At 38.5% G+C, this 27,919-nt stretch overlaps 2 long non-coding RNA genes across 4 annotated transcripts in view, besides 1 other annotated feature; one reads left to right on the plus strand and one right to left on the minus strand.

Annotated features, from left to right (window-relative positions):
• Positions 1 to 27,919, minus strand: part of LINC02391 (long intergenic non-protein coding RNA 2391) — a 104,570-nt gene that overhangs the window by 71,458 nt on the left and 5,193 nt on the right. For 2 of the 3 annotated variants that reach the window (XR_007063404.1, XR_007063403.1), the window contains exon 2: positions 26,811 to 26,954. This is a non-coding gene — a long non-coding RNA (long intergenic non-protein coding RNA 2391). Of the gene's footprint in view, positions 1 to 26,095; positions 26,268 to 26,810; positions 26,955 to 27,919 lie in introns of those variants that run through there. The other variant, XR_945205.3, reaches the window with a different exon arrangement.
• Positions 621 to 1,122: an enhancer, noted in NCBI's record as "NANOG hESC enhancer chr12:92725117-92725618 (GRCh37/hg19 assembly coordinates)". NCBI's record gives its function as "activates a minimal SCP1, AML or CMV promoter by ChIP-STARR-seq in primed H9 embryonic stem cells {active_cell/tissue: H9 hESC(primed)}" and the evidence as "EXISTENCE:reporter gene assay evidence [ECO:0000049][PMID:30033119]".
• LOC105369902 (uncharacterized) overlaps positions 18,625 to 27,919 on the plus strand; it is a 39,059-nt gene continuing 29,764 nt past the window's right edge. Inside the window, exon 1 of the long non-coding RNA XR_945203.3 lies at positions 18,625 to 18,687. This is a non-coding gene — a long non-coding RNA (uncharacterized LOC105369902). The remainder of the gene's footprint in view (positions 18,688 to 27,919) is intronic.

Here is a 27,919-nt window from a genome sequence, read left to right on the forward strand (position 1 = left end):
TCATCTGCCATATATATAAGGTCAGTGCTATGGGTCACTGATAGTTAACACAGATGTCAACTTGACTGGATTGAGGGATGACTAGATGGCTGGTGAGGCACTGTTTCTGGGTGTATCTTGAAAGGTATTGCCAGATATTTGAGTCAGTGGAAGGGTAGAGGAAGACCCACCCTCCAAGGGCGTGGGCACCATCCAATTGGCTGCTAACACAGATAGAGCAAAGCAGATAGAAGAAGGGATAAGCAGCTTGCTGAGTCTTCTTACTTTCTCTGTCTCTTCCCAAACGAGACCCTTGCTTCCTCTCCTCCTGCCCTTGGACATCAGACTCCAGGTTCTTCAGCCTTTGGATTCTGGGACTTGCACCAGGGGCCTTCCTGGGACTTTTGGGCCTTTGGCCTCATACTGAGGGCTGCGCTGTCAGCTTTTCTGGTTTGAGGTTTTTGGTCTTGGAATGAGCTATGCTATGGGCTTCTCTCTTTCCCCAGCTCGCAGACGGCCTGTCTTGGGACTTTGCCTTGTAATTGTATGAACCAATTCTCTCTATAAACTCCCTTTTGTATATACATATATCCTATTGGTTCTGTCCCTGTGGAGAACCCTGACTAAAACAGGGTCCTAGAAAGAACACAACTCATAATTATAGAGTAATATTATAGCTGTCATATACTGAAAGCTTTCTATGTGGTAGACACTTTGTGTAAGTTACGTTCATCCCTGATAACACCAATGCAAGTTACTATTCCACTTTACAGATGGGAACCTGAGGCTCAGAAAGGTAAGACAGCTTTCACTAGTCCACACAGGCTAAGGGGCAGAGCCCAGCTCTGTTTACTTTTCCAGGGTTCCTGACAATGCCCTTTGATTGCCCTGCAGCTGGGAAGGAAATAAGCTAATCTTTTAGGCTTCAGCTCTCTGCTGCGCATTCCTCCTTTCCAGCATTTTCCATGATGGTTTTCCTTGGAATACTGGCCTGAAAGCAAGGCTAACTACATAATTTGATGAGACCAGTGCAAAATAAAAACACAGCTCTTTGTTGAAAAAGCCGGAAAAAAAAACTACCCTCTTTAAAGTTATCAAAATATAAAACCTTTTCCATTATTCTGTCTTTTCTCTTGACTTATCATGGTTTATTATTTAATGTCATTCTAAGTAAAGAAAAATTAAAATTTTAAATTATTAGCATAAATTTTGCTGTTCATTTTTATATCGTGTGATGCCAGTTTTGAATGCAAATGCAAGAGCATATGCAGAATTACTGAAATGACACAATTTCTATTTTGCAGCTTGTATATGCATATGTATTTTGTTCTTTCCACAAGAGAGGAAAGGCTGCCCTGTTTTTATTTCCCTTCCTGATATAGTCACAATTCTACCAATACTCTCTATATCTGGCTTATTGATGAGTAAGAAGGACTGAAAGGAGAAGAAACTATGGCTTGAGACATATTCCCCTTTCCTTCCACATCGTTTTTGGCAAAAGTAGCTAATACAGGGAAGTCACATGGGTAAGAAATCATATCATAGGATTCCCAGATTGCCAACATTTCTTAGAATTCACTTGCCTTCTTTTTCTGTTCAAAGCACACTCTGGTTCAGACAGAAAGTGTGGGCTTTTGGGGCTGTCAGTATCCTCAGCTTACTCAGTTTTAAATGTTATCTCATACTCACTTTCCGTCTTGCTGATCTTGCCTGCTTCATGGGACCACCAGAATTATGTTTACAGGGCATCACAAACACTCTATGAGAGTAGAGTGGCAAGCAATGGCAGACACATATATTGTGCCTGTCTTCTCTGTTCATGTGCATGCTCCATTGTCTCATGAGACTCCACTTGCAAAACACCAAGGTGTACAATAAAATTATTGAGAGTTTCAAGTTGACGACACTAGAGCATTAAATCAAGCAAGTAGCCCCTTGAGCACAGGCCCTGGGTGACTGTGTAGGTCATATACCCATGAAGCTGGCCCTGCCTGGGTGATGTTAAGAGGTTGGCTCTAGGAGGAAGATTCTACAAGCCAAACTGTGAAAACTTCCTCTGATCTCTTATCACACTTAACCACTTACCAACTTTCTCTCACAGACTTTCTCTCACCACTGGGCTCTTTCAACAGATCCCAGTTGAAAATCTTCAACTCAATCAGGCTTTGAGAAGCAAAGGACAGCCTGGCATGCTGGCTTACACCTGTAATCCCAGCACTTTTGGGGACTGAGGCGTGTGGATTGCCTGAGGTCAGGAGTTCGAGACCACCCTGGCCAACATGGCGAAACACTGTCTCTACCAAAAATACAAAAACTAGCTGGACGTTGTGGCATGCACCTGTAATCCCAGCTACTCAGGAGGCTGAGGCAGGAGAATCACTTGAACCTGGGAGGCAAAGGTTGCAGGGAGCTGAGATTGCACCACTGTACTCCAGCATGGGCGACAGAGCGAGACTCCATCCCCTCGAAAAAAAAAAAGCAGCAAAAAAAATTTCAATGATAGAAAGAAATCCAGTTGCTTAAAACTCTATTCTTTGCCTTGTGTGCATTTTCCTTTTGTTTTTATTCAATATTCAGCAAGGATTGGCCAAGTAGCTTCTGCTATGAGGGAGATCTCTTTTAGGAATGAGAGTATACAAAAGTAAAGATGTTATATCTCTGACCTCGAGACAGCCATGGTCTGCTGCCTTCTGACACTGACACTTTGTACTAAATGTGTAATTTAAATTAAAAAATGTTCCAGGCAGCTCCCTCATTTTGCTCCTTTTTATCCCAGCAGTGTGGTTTCTGAGATAAATGTGAGGGCAGGTGCCCTAGGGTCATTTTCCTAGATTAGCCCTCCATGCTCTCTCTTTAAGAAGTGATTTTTTAACACAAACTGCACCCTATATTTAAGTAAATAAGGTACTCTCCTTAATCTTGAATGCTTGGCCAAAATTTTCAAAACTCTCTAACTATGGCTTTCTAACTTATTTCCAGATTTAACCTCAAAGAATTATACAAGGTTTCAAGTGTCTGTGGCTTCTCCTATTTCCCTTAACTCCTAGTCAACCATTTCACTGCATTGAACTTCTCTTATCTTGCCTTTTTAACTCCTTTTCTTAAGAGCATTCTTTTTTCATTTGTTCAAGAAACACTTTTTTAAAAAATTGTTTTAACTGACACAATAATTGTACATGTTTATGGAGTAGTGATGTTTCTATACATATAATGTATAGTGATCAGATCAGGATACTTAGCATATCCATCAGCTCAAACATTTATCATTTTTTTGTGTTGGAAATATTTAATCCCCTCCTTTCAGCTATTTGAAGCTGTATGTTATTATTAACTATAGTCCTCCTATGGTGTTATAGAACACTAGCATTTATTCCTTCTGTCTAACTTTTTATCCTTTAATGAATCTCTCCCCATTCCCCCGACTTTAGAGCATGTTTTTATCTCAGGGCTGAGGGTGGTGAGCACTTCCACTTCTACACTGGAATTTGCAAAAGATCAGCCATGAATGGTTATAGGTCTGTAGACACTTTAATATCACTACTGAGGTGACAGTTCCATTTTAAAGATGCTGGATTGGAAAATTATAGCTAAAATGACACTCTTTCCTGGAGTAGTGATGAAATTAGTGATGGGAGAGGGAAGAAATTACTCTTTGTTTAAAATCACTTTGTCTGCGACTTGGGAAATGGGATTATCATCAATTCTGCTTAATCATGGCCAAAGTTCTATTTATTTATTTATTTAGAGACAGAGTCTGGCTCTATCACCCAGGTTGGAGTGCAGTCACCTGAATCTCAGCTCCCTGCAATCTCTGCCTCCTGGGTTCAAGCAGTTCTCCTGCCTCAACCACCCGAGTAGCTGGGACTACAAGCACGTGCCACCATGTCCAGCTAATTTTTATATTTTTTGGTAGAGATGGGGTTTCACCATGTTGGTCAGGCTGGTCTCAAACTCCTGGCCTGAAGCTATCTACCCACCTCAGCCTCCCAAAGTGCTGGGATTACAGGTGTCAGCCAGTGTGCCCGACCACAAAGTTCTATGTATTGCTTATTAGTCATACATCCATTCACGCATTCATCTATTATTTCAACAGTTTCTTACAGGTTTACCCTGTGTCAGTTATTGTACTAAGCTCTGAGAATACAACAGTAAAAAAGACACGGCCCCTGCCCTCTAGGGAGTCCTCACAATGTAAAGGTAATGTAATATAAGAAGAATATGGGAAAGGCAGCAAATCTGTTCATGAGGAAGATTAGGGAAGATGGTGTTTTCTGGTTTTCTACAGAGATGAGGTCTTGCCATGTTGCCCAAAGTGGTCTTAAACTCCTGGGCTCAAGCAATCCTCCTGCCGTGGCTTCTTAAAGTGCTGGGATTACAGGCATGAATCACTGCACTGGACCTTAGGGAAGATGTTCTGAAACAAAAAAATAGCTTAGCATCTTGATCACTGGTTTTCAAATTTTAGGGAACTCTTTAATTCTATAGCTGTAAAGCAGCCAAGAATCTTCATGTTACACAACTATCACAGGTGATTCTAATGCAGAGGTCTTCAGAGTACTCTTCAAAAAAAAAATGTATCTTAGCTGCATTGTATTCCTGTATGTGTTATTCCTGAAAACCAAAATGCAGTATTATTTTCTTTTTGCAATGAGAAGCATAATTTGATAACTGCATTACAGAGAAAACCATCAGTCAGTTTTATTTTCCTCCCATAAAAAGAGTGTGAGATTTTTGTCATGATGTTCAACAATCATTTGTTGAGCTATCAAAGGGTTTGGCCCAAGACCCACCATTACTGTGAAGATTTGAGCCATGCCAATGGTCAAAAATATTTTTGTAGAAAAGAGTCATGAATTTTCTTGAGAATTTGAAAATGGATACATAAGAGAATGCATATAATTGTAATAAATAAATAGCATATGGATTTAGAGCACATTCACTTTAACAGAAAATTTCACTCCATTTCCTTAGCTTAGTAATTATTTCTCTAAAGATGTAGGTGTTTAGCAACATTTTAAAGAACTGGTTTTTAAAACACTGAAGCTGACATTTTTGAATTAACATTTTATTAGAACACAACCTAATTTATAAATCTGAACCATGAAGGACCCAGCAGATAATTATAGTCTTGAAGGCGCTTCTAATCTACCTTAATGGTATTATATCAACCAATCAACCAGGGACCATGTTTAAATTTTTAAACAGCCATTAAACAATTAAACAGCATAACAAATTATGTTTTGGATAACTGTCACAGCCTAATTTTTTGAGCATTCTTTAAAAAAAAAACTATAAATGGTTCATTAGAGGTACTTCTGAAGCCAAAAATGCTAATGCAAGTCACATGGAAATCCTAAAAGGAACTTGGCATGAAACAGGGAAGGAACTTGCTGCTGGAAATAGCAGATTAAACAAAAACTTAATCAATGTAGCTATAACTGAAGCGTATGTACTTAGACACAGCAGACTTTTACGGTAAACACACTAATGGTCTAACGTTCTATGTTCACATCAATTTTATATGCTTTCATAAATGCCTTTGTTTAACCAATTTTATGATCAATTAAACTATACCTTGCTATGCCACGAATAAAAAGAGAACTTCGTGAGTTTTAAAACACCAGGCCAAGTGCTGCAGAAAAAAAATATTAATCTTTGCATCCTATATCCTATCTTTGTTGACACAAATTCCTTTGTCCTACAACTGAAAGAAAACAGTTAGATGTTTTATAGTGATTGCCACTGTGCCTGTTTCATGGTGTATTTTTTCCTGAGCTGTGTTTGAGAAATTTTAAGGTGGTGCTTATTATTTCCTTCTTGGATTCCATTATTCTGTGTTCCAAGTAACATTACGTATTCATTAAATCCCAACATTTATGTGATGAAGATTTTATCACATTCTCTGCATTGCTTGTTCTTTTTTGGTGTTTTAAAAATACTGTTTTTCCGTTTACATGACTTTAATTCAATCCCACATAATAAAATCATCTTTGGCTGAGAGGGTATAAAGGCAAAATTCCTATAATCACACAAGACTATACATTTTATATGGCAGGCCTAACTGTACTTTTTAGGAAATAAAATGTTCTGGGGTTCTTTATTTTGAGGTTGAGCCAGATGGGAACATGGCCCAAGGAATCTAGAAAGAATTAAATCTGAAATGCTTAATCAGCTTCAAGTCTGTTTACCAGCATTGAAGCTCAACTGAAAAATAAACCCTAGTTGCAGGAACGTGAAATTTATTACACCAGTTCAATCAAAACAGTTGCTTAATTCAGTGACTATTTCAGTTAAATCATTTATGTGACTGGGCTAGAAGGCAGAGATTGAAGCAATAGGTGTCAGTGAACTTTGTTTCTGGTTCCAGTTGCCACTACCAGTTGTGTGGCTTTGGGAAAAGCATGTCACCTCTTTGTGCCTCCATTTTCATAAAATGACAGGTATGACATCCAGTAATCCCTAACATCTCTCCTAGATGGAAAATTCAATAAATCATTTAAAGCTGTTATTCTATTAGCATCATTAAAAGGCAAATCAGAAAAGAGGATACTGAGAAAGGACATCAAAGACCTTAGCCTGTTGACATGGATCTACTCCTTCTGGTATAAACTATTGACTTATCCCAGACCACAAAGCTTACTCATTCATGGGTTGACATCTTCGCAACATCCTCGGGTTAGGGATGAAATGAAACCTACTCCAACCTTTCTAAAGCAAATATACAAGACCTCATAGTGTAGCCGTTTTAAAACATTAGATTCATACCTGGGAGTGCGCCAGTGCTGTAGCCTCTTCCTCCCTGGGAGTATTGCAAAGGTAAACAAAAAATAAACAAGATAAATGGAGGATATGGGAGGGTGAGGGGAAACGCAGGAGAGTAGCTCTAATTACCATCTGCAAATGTGCATATATCTGCAGGTGCCAGGGTCTATGAATTCAAAATCTCCATAACCAATCAACCAAAAGGAGAACATTTTCACACATAACATGTGAAAACCATATTACACTTACATTTTTAGCTTGTCTTGCTATATATATATATATATATATATATATATATATATATATATACACATATACATATGAATTTAACAAAATGAGTTGTAATCTTCAGAATGTGACTATGGTTGCTTCAATAAATGCTAAACATAGAAATTTTAGGGCTAGGTTCACCCCTAATTTCATCCCAGAGGGCTATTGATATTAATATTTTCTGCACTGTATTAGCATGGAGTATAACTCTAAAATATTTCCTTGTGGGAAATGAATATTTTAAAGATCCAGCCCATTCAGTGCAACCATCATTTCCATTATAACTGATTTTCCTGTTAGACTGTGTATAGGTCTTGAAGCCTTAGAAATATCACAAGGTTTTTCACAGTGCAGAGATTCCATATTCAACATATAGTACACTGAAATCCAAATTGGATTTTGAAATGTAACATTTCAAAACCAGAAGCAAATAAAAACATATTATTCACAGAAGGATTTCTCAGAGGGCAATATGATAAAGAGGAGATGTCCTGGGTGGTTTTACTCCCAGTTCTAATATAAACTCTGTAAACTTGGGAAATTAACTAAATTTCAAGGAGCTCAATTCTGTCATCTGTAAAATGGGTATGATAATACTTTCCCTTCCTGATAACAAAAGTAGCGTTGAGATCAAGGGAGCAAATTGATGTGAAATATAATCCTTAGCCCACCCATTTTAGACCACGCTTTGCTAAATTTTGGTGTTCACCTAGCTTGGTCTATTCATATCAACACTGTTATTAAAATTGTCACTTGGGGGTTCAGTTATTTTAGGTGTCATTAACAGCAACTGAAGGAGGTTTTTAATGATATGAATGATTGAGAATGTATATACTATGGAATGAGAACAAGAAACAGTTCACCCTAAGTTAATTATGTAACAAATAAGTGTAGTTCTGGTGTTAGCATTCAATTTCTCCTCATTGGAGAGTTGGCCATTTCTCTGCCTTATGGGATCTGGAACCCTTCTCTTTCCATCTCCCAATTTTGCATATCTCTTAGTGCTTGTCCTCTGTGTTTCCTATAATTACCAGACTGGTTGGCATGGTTAGTTCCCTATATCTGGCCATTTGCTCTTTACAGATAATTTCTGGATTCCATGGAATTTGCATTGGCAAGTTCCACATTCCTGGTGTCCTTTGGGAAACTCTGGAATGCTGGTTCTTTCCTATCGGGAATGGAGTTTCTGCTGAATGTGCTTCCTGTTTTGCTTGGTTTTTATTTTTGTGATTATTATGTGTTAAAGGTTGTAGGGGATTCCCTTGGATGCAAATATCTACTGCCCCTGAGGCATTTTACTGTGAGGAACACTTAACCTGTCTCTCTATCCTTCCCTGTCCGGTACTCCATTTCTCTACACTGATTTGTGAGAACAGCGGGGGTTGGACAGGCCCATTTTGGGCAAGATAAGAAAAGCATTAACTTGTGTGACTTGACAATGGTTCCTCTGTTACACCAAATTTATGGAACCCAAGGTACTTCCTGGATCCCTTCTTCGTGACCATTATCATTATAACTGTCATTTATTAAGTATCTACTATGTTCCAAGTACTTCAAAGCTGTAATCTCATAGAATCCTCATAAAGATTCTGCTACGGGCAGGTCTTTGTTCTTAGAGCTCCCAAGATGGTGGCAGGCCACTCCCAAGATGGTGGCGGGCCACTCCCAAGATGGCAGCAAGCCTTTTGTTCTCTGACTTGGGGTTCTTGGCCTCACAGATTCCAAGGAATGGAACCTTGGGCCACACAGTGAGTGTTATTGCTCTATTAGAAGCCGTGGGTCATGGGAGAGAACCGTGGAACCCAGCAACTTGTGTTCAGCTCGATTAGGAGGAACCCAGGCACTTAGCCGCTCAGGAACAATGGCGAGCCTCTAGCCCGATTGGCAGCGGCAATGGGTGTCTCCCTGGATCAGAAGCACAGCAGACACCCTGCCAGATCCAGAGGCATGGAAGTCAGCAGTGGGTCTGCGATGGCAGCGGTCAACAGTGGTGGATAGTGAGCAAAAGCTCAGCTGGAGCTGGAACAAACATGGACCAGAAGCGTGTGCAGTTGCAAGATTTAATAGAGTGAAAACAGAGCTCCCATACAATGGGAGGGGACCTAAAGTGGGTTGCCACTGCTGGCTCGAATGCCTGGGTTTATATCCCGATCATTATCCCTCCCCTGTGCTCTCAGGCGATAGATGATTGACTATTTCTTTACCTCCTGCTTTTAGCCTAATTGATATTTTAGTGAGCTCTCTTTACTACCTGATTGGTCGGGTATGAGCTGAGTTATAAGCCCCGTCTTTAAAGGTGGATGGGGTCACCTTCCCCAGCTAGGCTTAGGAATTCTTAGTCAGCACAGGAAATCCAGCTAGTCCTGTCTCTCAATTCCATGAAGTTTCATATCTTACAGATGTGAAAATGCACACATAAAGAGATAACTTCCCTAAAGTGACAAAAGTAGGTGTGGTCAGGACCATGTTTTAATCCCAGTGTTATCTGCTTGGGCCAAAGCCCTTGATTTAATCACAGGCCTCCATCATGCCCATTGTCCACTACAACTGTAACCACTCAGGAATCAAATGCTTAACTATTTAATGTCTATTTTTATGGCAGTTTTTTTTTTAGCAAAGTTAAAGATTTTAATTAAAGTTCAATTAAATTTCCAAAAGCTACACTTGCCTTTGGTTACATCTTTTTAGCAATACAGTGGTGGAGTCTTCCACTTAATTCCTTAAAAAAAGTTAACATTGTGTGTTCTTAGCATCACAAGTTCTGAGTGACAAGCAGCATTAAAGGGCATTTATTTGATGTCTGAATTTCCTCTGCAACATCTAACAAGGCTCACCTCTGTTTGAACAAAGCATCTCATTCCCTCCTCGGAAAGTGGGGGCTGTAAGATTGAGTCTCTGGTTACTAGGCGAAAAATGTCAGTATTAGATTGGCAAGGTAGGTGTTGGCCCAGCCAAGTCACATGGAATCAGCATCTGGACATGTGACATACTTTAGTTACTAGGATTAGTGTTGAAAAATTTATTTTGTCTTTCCCTCATCTGTTGAGCGTGTTAGCCACTAAAATATAGGAATGTAAACTTCCAACAGAGTTTTCTATTCCACCCTTTGCATTCTTCCCCCAAGGGGAAAGAGTCTACCTTGGACTGGCAGGATTCCAAAAGACAGAGCTTTTCCAAAAGACATTATCGAGCCGTTATTGATGATTAGCAATGATAATAAGCTAATGTTTCTTTATACACTGTCAGGCACTGTGTTAAGCATTTTTAAGGCATTCTTTTATTTACTCCAATGAAAGTGAAATACCACCTACGGATGTGATGAGGACTAAATGAGATAAGACAGAGCACTTAAAACCACGCCTGTCTGGGCATACTGTAAGCCTCAGTGACTACAGCCATGATTGTAATCAGTGACTGTATTTCCTTACTCTTAAAGCAGAGACAGGAGCAAGCTGGTGGAATCGCCCTCAATATTAACTCACATTTTTTACCTGATACCATTTCCAATCTTCTGTGAAATCCTATCCAGACCCTGTACTGACTCCCCTGGCAATTTCAACAAGAAATATTCTACCTTTCACTGCCAATTTGTTTTGGTAGAGGCTGATCTGCAGTCTGAACATAAATGAAAGGGAATCCACCCGCAATAATAAAGAGTGAGCCTGGCCCATCATGATCAGAGACTGGCCCCTAACATGTTGACACAACGGCTGAACTATTTGAACACTGGAATGAACAAGTTGCAACAACTCCTGCAAGTCTCAGGAACTAATGTACGGACAACGACGCGCATTTCACTGACAGAGTCCTGATAATATATTGCAGGAAAACCCACGGGCCAGCCGATAACACTCAGCGTTAATTTGTTTACCCAAAAATTAGAGGAAGGAGAAGTTGGTGATTTGCAAAAAAAGAAGTTTTGGTAACAAGCGTAACGTTGGTGTGTAATTTTCCTAATTGAATTGCCAAATTTCTACCCACCACTGATCTTAATTTATAATAATGCTTCCATCTGTCTCACCTCCAGCATAGGAAATGGGAAGAGGGTGGTCTCTGCCTTAACATGGTAAGAAGAATATCTGCAGGTAGTAGGTAATCTTTAAATTACATGTGTGATACTGGGAATTGCATATAAGCAAATAAGGAAGCTCATTACTTTTCCAGATTTCAATTAACTGTATATTTGTAAAAATGCTTTCAGTTAGCAACATTTTGAATGGTAAAGGGATTGAAATTTACCTAAAAGAAAACCTTTTATAATGGTTTAGCAAATTTCAAGATTATCTAGGGCAGTCTGCATGGCCCTCAGATCATAGTGAATTAGTAATTTCTTGTGCAGAAATTGTCAAAAAACAGGAGGAAGTCAGGTGCCTATCTAGAAACATAAAAATTGGGAATAACACAAAAAGGAAACCTTGACTTCCTACTAGGTATATTAGGCATTTAATTTAAAACTTCATTTACTTTTTAAAAATTAACACAATACATGTTCACAATTCTAAAAACTCAAATACAACAAAACGTTTAATATAAACTTCTTACCCTCTCATTCCCAATTCCATTCCTTACTTTCAAACATTTCAGCAGTTTCTTCTATTTATTTCCATATTTGTATACTCTCTCTCTCTCTCTCTATATATATATATAGCTATTTCTTGATTATTTTGAAAACTTACTGACCACTGAATAATGACCTCCTCCAGGTAAAATGAGGATATCTTTCTTTTACATCAACTCCTGTCCCCATAGGCTTAATGTGATTATATAAAAATTTCTAGTTAAATCAGTAGAACTGGGACAGGCCACAAAGGCTGATCCAAGCCGAGAAATTGGAGAGAATAATGATTTTTTTCTTGGCTAAAGTTGTGTATCCTTGGAATTACTATCAAAGCAGCAAACATGCAATGCAAAAGATCCACCTAAGCATTAGGCTATATATGTATCAACTCTGGCTCTTAGTACCTCCCTTGCTTCCTCTCCCAAGGTGCAGCCTGGGTTCAAGGTCCTAGCAGTCCACACATTGTGAGGACTCCTCTAGATCAGACCAAGCAAGGCTCTGAGGTCATTGCTGCTGAGCTGGCCTTGGTGATGGTGATAAGCATTAGTGCCACGCCAGCACTCCAGAGCTAATACACTATTATAATATACTGATTGGGCTATAATGTACAGTTTTAAAATTCTGTCTAATTTTTTTTAAATCTATAAATTAAAAAAAATCTTCTTCTTTATGTTGATTTCCTGAATACTAAAAATAGTATAAGGGCAACAATTATTCTTGGTACTACTTATGTAATTTAATCATTAAAAGCTACATGTAGATCTAGTATCATGACACCAGAAATTTTCCGAAGAATTTTTTTTTTTTTAGTTTGAGACAGGGTCTCACTCTGTTGCCCAGGCTGGAGTGTGCAATAGCACAATCATGGCTCACTGCAGTCTTGAATCCTTGGGCTCACGTAATCCTCCCATCTCAGCCTCCCAAGTAGCTAGGACTATAAGTATGCACTACCATGCCCAGCTAATTTCTAAATTTTTTGTAGAGAAGAGGACTCGCTACGTTGTCTAGGCTAGTCTTGAACTCCTGGCCTCAAGAGAGTCTATCTATCTATCTATCTATCTATCTATCTATCTATCTATCTATCTGTCTAGTAGAGACAGGGTCTCGCTATGTTGCCCAGTTTGGTCACAAACTCCTGGCCTCAAGCAATCCTCTTGCTTTGGTCTACCAAAATGCTGGGATTACAGGCATGGGCCACTGTGCCTAACTTAAAAAAAAAATAAATAAAAATAAAAGTAGACTGTTTTAGAGCAGTTTTAGGTTCATAGCAATACTGGATGAAAGGTACAGAAATTTTCCATATACCTCCTTCTCCTACACGTGCATAGCTTCCCCCATCATCAACATCTCCCACCAGAGTGGTACATTTGTTAAAACTGATGAACCTGCACTGGCACATCATGATCCAAAGTCCATAGTTTACATTAGGTTTCACTCCTAGTGTTGTGCAGTCTATGGGTTTAGATAAATTTATAATGACATACATCTATCATTACAGTATCATACAGAGTAATTTCACTGCCCTAGAAATCCTCTGTGATCCACCAACGGTCTTATTATGTTTTTCCACAAAACTGCCTACAATCTTCTTTAAAGCTGTATTTAAAATAGTTAATGAATTTGACATTTCTGACAACCTTTATTGACTTTTTCTCTGTTGATCATAAAAGCCATAATATTTTTACTGAGAAAATACTCTCATATGTGCTGAGGTATTTTGTAACTGCAGAGTCAATTCTGCTCAATGAAGGATATTCTTAAGGGGGTTATTGAATTGTATAAATATTTTGGTCTAATTATTTTAAAGGTACTATATCATACCCTTTATTCAGAGTGCCTCCTTTTTTTCAAATACATTTTAGGAGACAAAATACATTGAATAAGTTTTTTCTATCTGCAATTATTTCAATGTTTTGCCAATTTTGATGCTGCAAAAATCATAGGCTTCTTAGTTTTATTTCATTCGCACATGTAATATAAATTACTATTTTAAAGTAGAGGTCCTTGAAAAGATTTTTCTTGCAAGTTGAGATATTTAAAAACACAGAATTTCAAAATTAAATTTTGTTCACCAGGCAAGTTACCATTGTTTAATTTGTTCTGTTCCTTCCTTGCTTTTGTAAGAATAAATTATGTCTTTCTATCTGAAAAATTTGTTTTTAATAACTATAATCACTAAAAACTTCGAGAGCCAGTTTGGTGCTCCATTTCTTTTGAATATTTTGATTAAAGTTTTTCTAACTATTTTTGAAAATTTAGAGTTCTCATTTTGGTATTATTAAATTTAGACTTCTCATTTGATATTATTATTAAAAAATAGTTCTTCAAAGGCTTAAATATTTATAAAATCTAATTTAAGATAAGCAACAAAGAGAGAAAATAGATACTTCCAGAATATAATTTTTTTGTTTAACTTTCTTAATGTCAGCTTCATATAAACAAATACGTTATGGTTCACTTCAAATATATATATATATATATAAATAAATATATATATAACTACTTTATATATTAAACTGCTTTATATATATTATATATAAATATATATTATAAATATACAAACTACATATATATGTATATATATGTGCTCAGACCACAGATATGTAACTATATATAAATATATAAACTACTTAATATGTGTATGTTAAACTATTTGTAAGTTTTGACAACTATAGCTTTGATTTTCCTGCTGCTTATTTAAAAGCAACTATGGATTATGTATGCACTATAATAGGCTTTGGCTCCGTGTCTCCACCCAAATCTCATCTTGAATTGTAAGTCAAGAATTGGGGTTTGAGAACCTCCACCTAAATTTCAGAACATGTATGGAAATGCCTGGATACCCAGGCAGAAGTGTGCTGCAGGGGCGAGGCCCTCATGGAGAACCTCTGCTAGGGCAGTGCAGAAGGGAAATGTGGGGTCAGAGCCCCCACACAGAGTCCCTACTGGCGCACCACCTAGTGAAGCTATAAGAAGAGGGCCACCATCCTGCAGACCCCAGAATAGTAGATCCACCGACAGCTCTCACCGTACACCTGGAAAAGCCACAGACACTTAATGCCAGTCCATGAAAGCAGCCAGGAGGGAGGCTATACCCTGCAAAGCCACAGGGGCAGAGCTGCCCAAGACTATGGGAACCTAACTCTTGCATCAGTGTGACCTGGATGTGAGACATGGAGTGAAAGGAGATCATTTTGGAGCTTTAAAATTTGACTTCCCCACTGGATTTTGGACTTACATGGGCCCTGTAATCCCTTTGTTGTGGCCAACTTCTCCCATTTGGAACTGCTGTATTTACCCAATACCTGTACCCCCATTGTATCTAGGAAGTAACCAGCTTGCTTTTGATGTTACAGGCTCATAGGCAGAAAGGACTTGCCTTGTTTCAGATGAGACTTTGGACTGTGGACTTTTGGGTTAATGCTGAAATGAGTTAAGACTCTGGGGGACTGTTGGGAAGGATGATTGGTTTTGAAATATGAGGACATGAGATTTGGAGGGGCCAGGGTGAAATAGTATGATTTGGCTCTGTGTCCCCACCCAAATCTCATCTTGAATTGTACTCCCATAATTCCCATGTGTTGTGGGAGGGAGGCTGTGGAAGATAATTTGAATCATGGGGGCGGTTTCCCCCATACTGTTCTCATGGTAGTGAATAAGTCTCGTGAGATCTGATGGTTATATCAGGTGTTTCCACTTTTGCATCTTCCTCATTTTTCTCTTGCCGCTACCACATAAGAAGTGCCTTTTGCCTCCCGCCATGATTCTGATGCCTCCCCAGCCATGTGGAAGTATAAGTCCAATGAAACCTTTTTCTTCCCAGTCTCAGGTGTGTCTTTATCAGCAGCATGAAAATGAACTAATACACACTATAACTAATTCCAGGTAAATTTCTGCTCTATGAGTTTCATTATTTGCTTTGCCAAATTTCATATCACATTATTACTGCAGAAGCAAACATTGTATCTTCAATGTGGAACCTTTTAATTGATTTTACAATAATATTCCTAATAATATTTGGCATTTTGCCTTTAATATTATAAAATGCAATTCCAAATGGTTCATTTTGATTGCATGAAAGAAACCTTTCTATTATTGGAATTCACTAATTTTTGTTTAACATTCAATGACATTGATATAAAATTGGCATAATTGAACTCTAGGAAGTTTATATTCTGCTAATGAAACCAATACTTAAAAAAACTTTCATCTTTAACATGTATAAAAAAGATTTGAAATTATAAATTAGCAAAATTAACTTACTAGTCGTTTGATCTAAATGAAGTCATGCATCATGGAGTGATAGGCAAATGCACTTTCTTTAGTAGCACATGTTAAATTGTCATCTTCCAGTACAGTTTGGTTTAATTAATAACTTTTGAAATAGATGCTGATATTTATTAGATTTGTGTCTTCTGGCTGTCATGTGATTAATGGTATTACTATGGCTTCTATGATAAGAAAAAAAAAGGTGATAGTGTGGATTAGTGTTCAGTCCACATTTACTTTCTCCCCTGATGGATGCTGGATTATTCATATGACATGCGTTAGCCAATGGAATGTGGCAAACCTGACAGGAGTCAAATATTTACATGTTATGTGATCTTACTTGTTTGCATTCTCCTATAAGCTTCCATGAAAAGATCATGGCAGGCTGGGCATGGTGGCTCACACTGGTAATGCCAGCACTTAGGGAGGCCAAGGTGGGCAGATCACTTGAGCCCAGGAGTTCGAGACCAGCCTGGGCAACACAGTGAAACCCTGTCTCTACAAAAAATACAAAATTTGGCCAGGCGTGTTGGCCTGCACCTGTAGTCCCAGCTACTTGGGAGGCTGAGGTAGAAGGATCACCTGAGCCCAGGAAGTCGAGGCTGCAGTGAGCCAAGATTGCACTACTGCGTTCCAGCCTGGGTGACAGAGTGAGACCCTGTCTCAAAAATAAATAAATAAATAAATAAATAAATAACCTGGCTGATTCCTTTCTCAGTCAGCCAAACCTCAATCTGCAGACTCTTGAGGATAAATATAAATGCCTGTTTGCGAAGCCACTGTGTTTCAAAATCGTTTATACACAACATTCTGGTGACAATGCTAATACAGATGGGAAATGTTGACAAACATTTTATGCAAGTTAGCTATTCATCCCCTCAAGTTTTCTGAAAAATGGAAATTAGGCACATCATTTTTAATTAAACATAAACTTTTCTTAGTTTAGTTGTCTAGGGCTAAAAGAGCTTATTGCAAAATAAAAAAAAATATTATCTAACAACAAGATAAATAGTTTTAGATTTCTGAAATAAACTAAATGACAAAACCACTGTAGGAAATGTATTAAGACCACTCTTTATGTGCTCTTCACATAAGTGCAGACTCTACTGCCCACTCATATTTGGCCTACCCTTAACCTATATTTCCCACATTGCCACTGCCTTACCTCCTGGGGACTTCACACATCTTGCAGAAACAGAACAACTAGGTGTTACACAGTGGCTAGCAGAGTCCTGGCATTCAATATTACCTCTGACTAAAAAATGTGAGTGTCAGAGTGCATTTCCTTTTCTTGTCAGCAAGAAATGCTGTCCTCTGAAGGAAAAAAAATAGTTATATTGCATCAAAAAGGGTAAAGGCAGCAGGATCACTTGAGGCCAGGAGTTCAAGACCAGCCTGGCAACATAGTGAGACCCTGTCTCTACTAAATGAATGAATAAATAAATAAATAAAATAAAGCAGGCATGGTGATGCATACCTGTAGTCTTAGCTACTCAGGAGGCTGAGGCAGAAGGATGGCTTTAGCCCCGGAGTTTGAGGTTACAGAGAGCTACAGTCACACCACTGCACTCCAGCCTGGGCAACAGAGTAAGACCTTGTCTCTAAAAAAAAAAATTAAAGACAAAAATTTAAAAAAAAAAAAAGGGTAAGGAAGAGAAAGATGGGTAATTGCTGGTGGTCATTCAGGTTTAACCATGTATTAAAGTGAGTATACTGGTTATTACAAATGCATCTCATGTGCTTTAGATGAAACTTTTAGCAGCAGCTGCAACTACAAAATAGAGGCCTATAAGACCATCATGGATTATTTTAATGCAACTAATAATCATAATTTGTTAAGAACTGATAAATACCAGACAAATAAAAAGGCAAATATGATTCTAGGACAAGTGTATGTTGGGATCATCCCAGGCAAACCATGATGGATGGTCAACCTATTTATATGTGACCTGTTTTTTCTCTCTGGATGCCTTTAGAATCCTATCTTTGGCTCTGGTGATCCGGATGGTCATGATAATATACTTGGTGTGTATCTTGTTTTTGTTTGTTCTATTATGTAAGGGCTCATGATCGTCATTTAAAAAAATTATCTGATAAATTCTTTCCCTCTGTTTTTTCTGGTCTCTCTAGGATTCATCCTTGTCATAACTCATGGATACATCTCTTGGACTGATCCTCAGATTTTCTTTTCTTTCATAATGTTTTCATATGTTTGTACTGTTTTACTTTCTGGGAGATCTTCTCGATTTTATTCTGCAAGTGTTTAATTGAATGTTTTAGTTCAGCTAGCATATTTTAAATTTCCTATGTTCATTCCTGTTCTGATGATTGCCTTTTTATAAAGCATTCTTTCTCTCTCTGAGGACATTAATTATGATGTTGTAACGATTTTTTCTACTTTCTGCACTATTTCTGTATTCTATGATTTCTCTGTTTATTTGGTTTGGTTCCTTATGTTTTTCTCTCAAACTTCTGGAGGTATATGTTGTCTCCCTGAATCTGTGAGGGACTAAATAGCTACCTGGACATACTCTGTGTGTGAAAGAGGTTTTTAACTGGTCAACTTTACAGTAGGCTAATCTGGCAGGGATCCAGTATTTTGCTCTGGGAAACCAAATTTTCAGTATCTGTAGATACTTTTTCTTGGACAGGATACTCTAATTTCCCACCTAAGCAGTATAATCTTGATGTCTAGCATCTTGAAATACAATCAGAGAAGGAGGTTCATTTTTACTTTTCCATGTATCAACCTGTATGTAATGCTTCATTTTTGCACCATTTTACAGGAGGACATCACATTTGCCTGATCTTGTGTGCCTGATCTCTCTGACTCCGGAGTCTCTTATAAGGTATTCAGAAAATGAGCATTGTATCTCTTGCAGAGTGAGTAAGGAATAGTCACTTGATGTTTAGGGGTAAAGGAAAGGATTTGGTATCTGGTTCTTCAGCAGATTCTCAACAAGTTTCCAGTACTGCCTGCTGTAGTACCTAATGCTTCTAATGTCTGAGCCTCTCCAAGTTTTGCAATATGAATTAGCTACTTCTTGTTGGGTTTATCCTCTATAATCTAAAGTTTCAACTCTTTCCCTATTTTAATCAGTATTATGGTCACAGTTTAAATCAGTTATCACCCTTCCGGTTTCTAAAATTAGATTGACATCTATATTTGCTTTTTTTCTCATTTCCCCTCCTTCTTTATGGATTTATAGATTATTTATTCTTTTATTTAACTTTGGTGAGGGTTTGGCAGGGAGCAAAGATAAATACACATGTTCACTCTGCCATGTTTAAGGGGAAGTTTGTGCTAGTCTACTGCATTTAATCATTAGCAAGGTTGCCAGATTTAGCTAATAAGAATACAGGAGGTCTCAGTATAATTGTTTATTGCTGCCATAACAAATTTCCACAAATTTAGTGGCTTAAACACAGCACACACTTATTTTCTTACAGTTCTGGAGGTCAGAAGTCCAAAATCAGTTTCACTGGACTCAAGCTGAGGTATTTGCAATGCTGGTTTCTTTAGGAGGTGCTGAGAGGAGAATTCATCTCCTTGCCTTTTCCAGCTTCTAGGGGCCACCTGTATTCTTTGGCTTGTGGCTCCTTGCCCCATCTTCAAAGAGTATCATTGTAATCTCTGCTTCTATCATCACATCATCTTCTATGACTCCTCCCGCAACTTCCGTCTCATAAGGACACTTGTGATTATACTGGGCCCACCAGACAATTTTGAATAATATCCCCACTGCAAGATCCTTAGCTTAATCATTTCTGCAAGTCCCTTTGGCCATATAAAGTAACATTTACAGGTTCTGGGGATTAGACATAGACATATTTGGGGCTATTATTGAGCCTACCATGCTCAGTTAAACTGGAATTTCAGATAAATGACAAATATACATGGGGCATAATTATACTAAAAATTCTTCTGTTTTTATGAAATTTAAATTTGACTGGACATAGTATTTTATTTGAAAACCTATGCTTAGAACAAACTTACGGAATAGTTGGTATTTACAGCTTAGCAGTAAAAAAGTTGACATTGGAAAGGTTAAATAACATGCCCAAGTTCACACATACTTTAGTGGTAGGAGAAAGTTTTAAATCTAAATCTGTTTGACCTCAAAGTTCATGCTTATTTCATCCATCTTTTCTTTGTTTCTTCCTGTATTTCTTTTTTTTCTCTCTCTCTCCCTCCCTTCTTTTCTTCTTTCATTTTTTAAATTATGCTTGCTGTAGACTGAATGTTTGTGTCCCTTCAAATTCATACGTTGAATCCTAACCCCCAATGTGATGGTATTTGAAGGTAGGGCCCTTGGGAGGTGATTAGGTCATGAGAATGGAGACCTCATGATGGGATTAGTGACCTTATAAAAGAGATCCCAGAGAGCCCCCCTTGTCCCTCCTGCCATGTGAAGTTACAACAAGAATATGGCAGTCTGTGAACCAGAAAGTGGAACCTCACCAGACACTGAATCTGCTGGTTCCTTGATTCCGGACTTCTCAGCCTCAAAAACTGGGAGAAATAAATTTCTGTGGTTTATAAGCCACCAAGTATAGGTATTTTATAATAGCAGCCCCAACGGACTAAGATAATACTAATACTTAAATACATTCTCCCTGTAAGATATAAACAGCTGCCCATACTTCTCTGACCACACAAGTTTGAATCTGAAACTTATGTTTCAGATCCAGTTTAGTTTCCATGAATTGATGAAACATTAACAAAGTAAGAATTTCATATGGCTTAACATATATATCACTTGGCATACACAGAGAACGAAGTGCTCTGATTAATAAAATACTATAGTTAATAGAAAATCAAATATAAATCATAAAAGGAGAACCGCTTTCCAAATATCTAGACAAAAACACATGATATTTAGGAGTATTTTTATATGGAGAATAATTTTTTCTTGGTGATCCAAGAGATATTTTAGGATCATAGAGGAACTCTGTATTTTTATTCCGAATATTAGTATGTTATAGATGTGCCAATGTAATGATAAGAGTAAACAGAGTATTCTATTAAACTCCAGTGAATACTAGAATTTCTTATATTAAAATTATTAGGATCTCATGTGTTCTGGTGATTTCTACTGTGTATATCAGAGGCAGCAAATATGTTCTATACTAGATAGTAAGTAATTTCAGCTTCGTGTGCCTAACAGCCTGTTGCATTTACTCAGCTCTTCATTTTATACTAGAAAACAGCTATAGATAATATACAAGCAAATTAGAGAAGCTGTGTTCCAATAAAACTTTATTGAGAAAATGGGCAGTTGGCTGGATTTGACCTGAGGGCTATAGTTTGTTGATCCCTAATTTATATGCGGATGGTCCTTAAATTTCTACCACATTTTCTAACATTTCTCTTTAATGATATAGTTATATTTCTAACATTGGCACCTTAAGCCTAAAAGATCTAAAACAAAAATCAGAATATTATTTCTAAATCAGATGGCTGTACTACCAAATCTATTTCTCTTATAATTTCTCTTTCATCTTTTGTTCTCCAAAGTTCACTTCTCTTCTTTGCTTTCCAACTCTTCCAATCAGTTCTTAATTTTCTCATTTCTACTTTCAAGATATGTTTCATATCTGTCTTTTTCCTTCATTTCCTTTGTTACTGTCTTAGTTCAGGTTTTCATTAACTTGTCTGGACTCTTACTGTGGTCTCACATGTAGCATCTCTACTTCTGTAACCTTTCTGGTTCTTCATAGCTACCCCTGCCTGTTTAATCTTCCCATAGCATAGGACTGAACATAACACTTCTTAGTTCAGGAGACATCATAAGCTCCCGATTGTCCCAAAGCAATGTTCAGTCTTTCATAATCTGGATCCACTCAACTTCACCAAATATTATTTCTCATTTGACTTCCTTATAAGCTCAATTCCAGCTGAGGTAGACAACTTACTTTATCTTTCACGTAAACTCTGTGCTTTCCATTCTTCCTATCTTATATATTTTCTTGTGTTATTTGCCTATTTGTCTAGAACTGCACTGGCCAATATGGTAGATATTAGCCATACAGTTCCTCAGTAGAATTAGCTACACATCAGGTGCCCAACAGCTACCACACTACCTCACTAGTATGGTAGATACTAGCCAGATGTAGCTACTGGAAAGATAAGATCCTCTTCTAGACAGAAAAGATATAGAACACTTTTTTTTTTTAAACAGAGCCTCCCTCTGTCACCTAGGTTGGAGTGCAGTGGCACAGTTTTGGCTCACTGTAAGCTCTGCCTCCCAGATTCAACTGATTCTCCAGCCTTAGCCTCCTGAGTAGCTGGGAACATAGGCGTGTGCCACCACGCCTGGCTAATTCTTGTATTTTTAGTAGAGACAAGGTTTCACCATGTTGGCCAGGCTGTTCTCAAAACTCCGGGACTCAAACAATCCACCCACCTCAGCCTCCCAAAGTGCTGGGATTACAGGCATGAGCCACTGCACCCAGCAGAACATTTTCATTACTGTAGAAAGATTTATTCAATAGCACTGCCCTAGAACTTCCTCCTCACATTGCCTCACATTTAATCCTGTGTGATTTCTATTGCCTAGAAATACTACCCTTATTTCTGGTATGCTATGGCACACCACCCCTTTCTGTCATAGCATTTTATTGATGTTGGGCTTATGGTGTTACTACCTCCGATCCTGGAATAGAGTGACTTAAAAATATGCTATGCTCTGTATAGACTGCTATTTTCATTTGTTTCTTTATTAAATTTCTTTGTTAACAATTAATCCCAATCCATTATATAGTAGGTATTCAAAAAAGAATTTGACAAGCCTCATTGAAATATTCTTTAAAGTTTCGTATATATGAAAACATTTCTCTAACAAAGAGTAATGACTTTGCTTCATAAATTTACCAGTTGGAATTAGCATGAAATTTGGGACAGGGAAACTGTTTGTAGGAATATTATATTTTAGAAAGCCTAATGATAAATCGACATGATTTCCATCAATTTATTTTCACTGGTTTTGGCAGGCAGCATAGTGTAATGAAAAGAAGATGGATGTGGGTACCAGACTACCCTACTTTAGAATCCTGTTTCATCGATTACTGAGCCAGCTTAGCCAAGTGACTTAATTTCTCAGAGCTTCATGGAGATGGTAATAGCTACCCGCCTTAGTTGAAACTCCTTGATAGCAAATGGTAGAAATAGAATCAAACTAGCTTTTTAAGAATAAAATGTTAATGGACTCATGTAACTGAAAGCGTCTTCAACATGGCTGGATCCGGGTGCTCAAATAATGTTATGGCTCCATTTTCAGGCAAAACTCTGATACATGATAGTGAGATGGCCACTAGCAGTTGCAGGATCATATGCTCTTTACAACTCAGGATCCAAGAGGAACAAAAGAACTTTTCCTTAACTCTAGCAGCATTCCAGGGGGTACTGTCATTGGTCTGTCTTTAGTCAGGAACATCCCTGTATCAACTGTGGCTAGGATATGAGCGGTCAGATAAGCCAAGCCTGGATTAAATTGATATGAGAAGGGGCAGGGAAGTGCTGGGTAAAGAAGGGCGGGGTCCCTGGCTAGGGCTCCATCCTTGAGCCTGTGCCCATGGACCTAAATGACGACAGGCATTTCTGTTTTCATGCCCAAAAAGTTGTCTTTTGGCCAGCCACGTTCCCCATCCTGTGCCCATAAAAACCCCGAGACCCTAGTGGACACACACACAAGTGGCTGGATGTTGAGAGGGGCAGAAGAACACATCAGCAGACACCAGCAGGCCAGTGATGGTGGAATGATGCATATGCCGAGGAGAATATGGCTGCGGGCAGTTGGAGGACAGTCCAGCCCCTAGGCGGCCTGACTCCAGGGGAAGACCACCTTCCCACTCCATCCCCCTGCTGGCTCCCCATTTATCCCACTTGGAGCTACCTTCATCACCCCATAAAATCTTATGCTCAACCTCCAAGTTCACATGTGATCTGATTTTTCTGGTACGCTAGGGCAAGAACCTGGGATACAGAAAACCTCTGTCCTTCCGATAAGGCAGAGGATCTAATTGAGCTGATTAATATAAGCCGCCTACAGATGGCAAAGCTGAAAGAGCACCCTGTAACCCGCACTCACTGGGGCTTCAGGAACTGTAAACACTCAACCCGAGACGCTGCTGTGGAGTTGGAGCCCAAAAATGCTCCCTAGGACCTGCCCATCTGCATGCACCCCCTAGGGGTTTAAGCAGATGGGCACCAAAGAAGCAAGCCACACCCCTGTTGCATGTCCCATGAGGGGGATAAGGTGACTACTCCCATTTCAAAATGACCACACTGAGGCCTTGGGCAAGGGGAACAGTCAGGCCCACCCAGGCCTATGAATGATATAGAATTGCTATAGAATGGAGGCTGGCTGTTTCTTTAAAGAAAGGAACACAGGACAATCAAAACAGGTTATGTCCTCTAATTTAAGAGGTGCTACATTGTACCACTCCAGAGGGCACTCTTACTGTATTCAATGTGAACAGTGTCTGCTTGAGTTGGGCAACATATAGGATCTCTCTCCATTATAGGTTTGGAGGCCTGCTGGAGATGGGCAACATATAGGGTCTCTCTCCATTATAGATTTGAAGTGATGGTTAAATGGTAAAATATAGATAAAATGCCAAGCAATTAGTAGATACTCGAAAAAATCTTTTTATATTTTGCACCAATCTTTTCCACTTAAACTGAGAAAAAGGCATATTATTCAACACTGATTAAGGTCTGTATTAGACCACTCCAGAGTTACTAGCACTTGTTCTGAAATAATAAAGAAATTATAGTTTCTTCTAATATTTCACCTCATATAACATTTTACAGTCAATGCAAAGGGTCATGACTCTACCAAGATTAAATAGTTTACAGATGGTCCTGCACTTAATTATTAGTACCTCTAGAAATACCAATATTAACCCAAGGTTGCTTTGTAACTGTGTTATAATTCAAATAATATGGTAGATGGAAATCTGGCCTCCATTGACCTTTACTTCAACCAGAGAAGTTTTCTATTTGTCAGTTTCACATTCAACAGATTGACATTTATCAGTTTATCAACAGTAAAAATTACTTTTTTTGCTAATGCAGAAATCTTCAAATACATAACATAAGAAGTTGAGACAATTTTTTTTCCTACATAGTCAAGTCCAGAAGTAGGCCATGCAAACTCTGGTATGATAGTTCCACTAAATTATTAGATACCCATGTTCCTTTTGGCTTTCTCTTCCTATATCTTTAGAGTCCAGCCCTATCTTCATATTTTTAAGAAGTCTGCCAGAGCTATGGCCATCAGGTTGACAATTCATACAGCCTGGAGAGAAAGGGAAAGAGCAAAAAAGGTACCTGCCATTTGATTTAGACCTCTTAGAAGAACTTTTTTGGACATCTCATATTGTATCTTCTTTTGGCTAGCTCTTTGTAATATAACCACACATGTAAAAGAAAAGTGCAGAATCTAGTTTTTATTGTTTTCAGTTGAGCATACTGCCATCCCAAATAAAAATTAGGGATTTGTTAATAAGAAAGAAGGGGAGAGTAAACATTGAGTTGGCAACTAGCATGCTTTATCACTTACAAATTAGCATTATTTCTAAGATTTTGTTTGCATAAAATGTTCTAATCTTTAAAGAAAAAAACCTAAACACTCTTGATGTAATCAAACTCTGGGACAAGAAGGTTCATCATACCATTAACTCAATGGTGTGATGCTCAAAGAAGGCAAAGTGGTGGCGACATTCACAGGTTAGATTTGAAAAAGTGTTAAACAACTCTGTTCATTATGAACATTTTGAATAAAAGTTATAGCCCATGGGCACCCTTCACTACTTCCCTAGGATGCTTTTGAAAATGGAGTTCGTAGATTTAAGCATGTTTTCATTCAGCAGTTCCTTATCACAGTGTGCCTGTACCCACTTGGACCAAGAGCGGGGTTAAAATGCAGCCAAACAGGAAGTGGGTGGTGTGTGCAGTGCCACATCTTGGAGCTGTCACTAAAGCCCAGGCTGCCCTCTGGGAGGTCCTCAACTGGGTACATGTTTCAGCCCATCCAGCTCTCATTCCTTTCTTCCCCTTCATGACCACAGGGTAGTGATTATCTCAGCAAGGCAAATGGCTCATTAATGTAGTGGGGAGCCAGATTGAACATTTGGAAAACACCCACGTATTTAAAGGGGCCAAAATGAGCTTTCTGCTCAAGCTGCCAGCTGGTTTGCCTGTAACATCAGCTTGCTCAGAAGAGGGGAGGAAATCATTTTTGCCAGTACTTATTCAGGTTGAAAAATTATGGCTTTATTTTTATTTTAGCAGTCTCTCAAGTGAAGGGTTGATTGCATGATCTCCTTTCTTCACTGCTGGCTTCAACCCTACATGTTCCTCAAGAGCCAACTTGTCTCATCTTCAAGTAGTTTGCCAGATCGCTGAAGGCCTTAGGAGTCTCTCCTAAAACATGACTCCATTCACTGATAGCACAGACCATGTATTTGGTATTCATCACACATTGCTTTGTTGGGTTAGTTGCCTTTTTCTGTTTGGGTCTCCCATCTCCCTAACTGAATTTAAGGCCTCTAAGGTCTAGGGAACCATGTAATTTATTATCCTAATTGGAACACTTTTGAGAATAAAAAGAGATGTTATTAATAATTACATTGGGACACCTCCCACAAACCTGAACTCTCTGAGCAAATTATGTGTGTCAACTCTATTAAGGTCAAAGGACATTATTTACTGCTTTTCTCTGATCATCCACAGGGTCTAGTGTAATTCACTTGCAAACGGACATCAAACTCTTAAAAATAGGTAGCTTAGCAAAGCAACAAACAATTCCGCTTACAACAGCCATAAAATAGGTGGAAGAGGTGAACAGGTTCCTACTAGTGGGAGATTTAATATTTCAATATAGGAAGTAACCACAAGGTAGAAAGATTTCAATAATCAGATAAAGACTGTTCACAGTAGAAACCAGTCTAAAATTTATGTTCTTACCATTACGAAGCCATGGGGTCCAAACAGGCACTCTTAGCACAAGAGTAGAAAGGAAAAAGTATTTTCAATGGGCATTTTCGTAAAGTGTATTCTTGTTTCGGAAGCATCAGGCATCCTAATCATCACACTGACATCCACATGGGACTGTGCAAAAGGAAACAGGGACAGAATCAGATAGAAAAATAGACTCATAATCAAGACATTATAAATTCTCTGCAGTTAGTGCCCTTCCCTAATATAAAGTTTCCATGTCTCCGATTCCCCTCCCTCTGCTCCTCTCTCTGTTTTGCCTACATCCTCAGATTCATACATGTCACCATTTCAGCTATGACATAAAGACATTTTGTCAGGCAGAAGAAAAGTTGGGACCTTCTCTCCCTGTGTCTCTTTCTTGGGAAAAACTTTTCTGGAACTCTTCAAGATGACTTCCTTTGATATTTCATTGGCCAGAATTGGCCTCATGACTATTTCTAAACCAGGCACTAACAAAGGGAAGATTAGGGACTTGTCTTGGACATAGCACCCCGATGCTGGTAAGGAGGGGAGGTTATCTTTTCCTGAGGCCTCAATTCAAACAGTCGCTCCAAATGTTGTTAAAGATAACTTTATTTTTAATCAGATACTGTGCCCAGAGTGGTAGATCAAGTTACAGTCCTCTTGTAATGTGGATAGTGACATCTGAAACATGAGTTCTCTATATAGTATACATTTTGTATATATCCCAGCATTTTTTATAACTTTCATCATTACTGTTGAAAATGACATAGGGTGATATTTGCCTTCTTCATTAACTCCTACTAAATACATCTTTCTATCTAAATTTCCAAATTTTTTGTTTATACCTTTTTTTTTTTTTTTTTTTTTTTTTTTGAGACAGAGTCTTGCTTTGTCACCCAGGCTAGAGTACAGTGGTTCAATCGCAGCTCACTTCAACCTCTGCCTCCCAGGCTCAAGCAATCCTCCCATCTTAGTCCCCAGAGTATCTGAGACTACAAGTATGCGCCACCACACCTGGCTCATTTTTGTGTTTTTGGTAGAGACAGGGTTTTGCCATGTTTCCCAGGCTGGTCGTGATTTCTGGACCTCAAGAGATCTGCCCACCTCAGTCT

This window comes from Homo sapiens, chromosome 12 (genome assembly GCF_000001405.40).
Source record: "Homo sapiens chromosome 12, GRCh38.p14 Primary Assembly".
NCBI classification, from domain to species: Eukaryota; Metazoa; Chordata; class Mammalia; order Primates; family Hominidae; genus Homo; species Homo sapiens.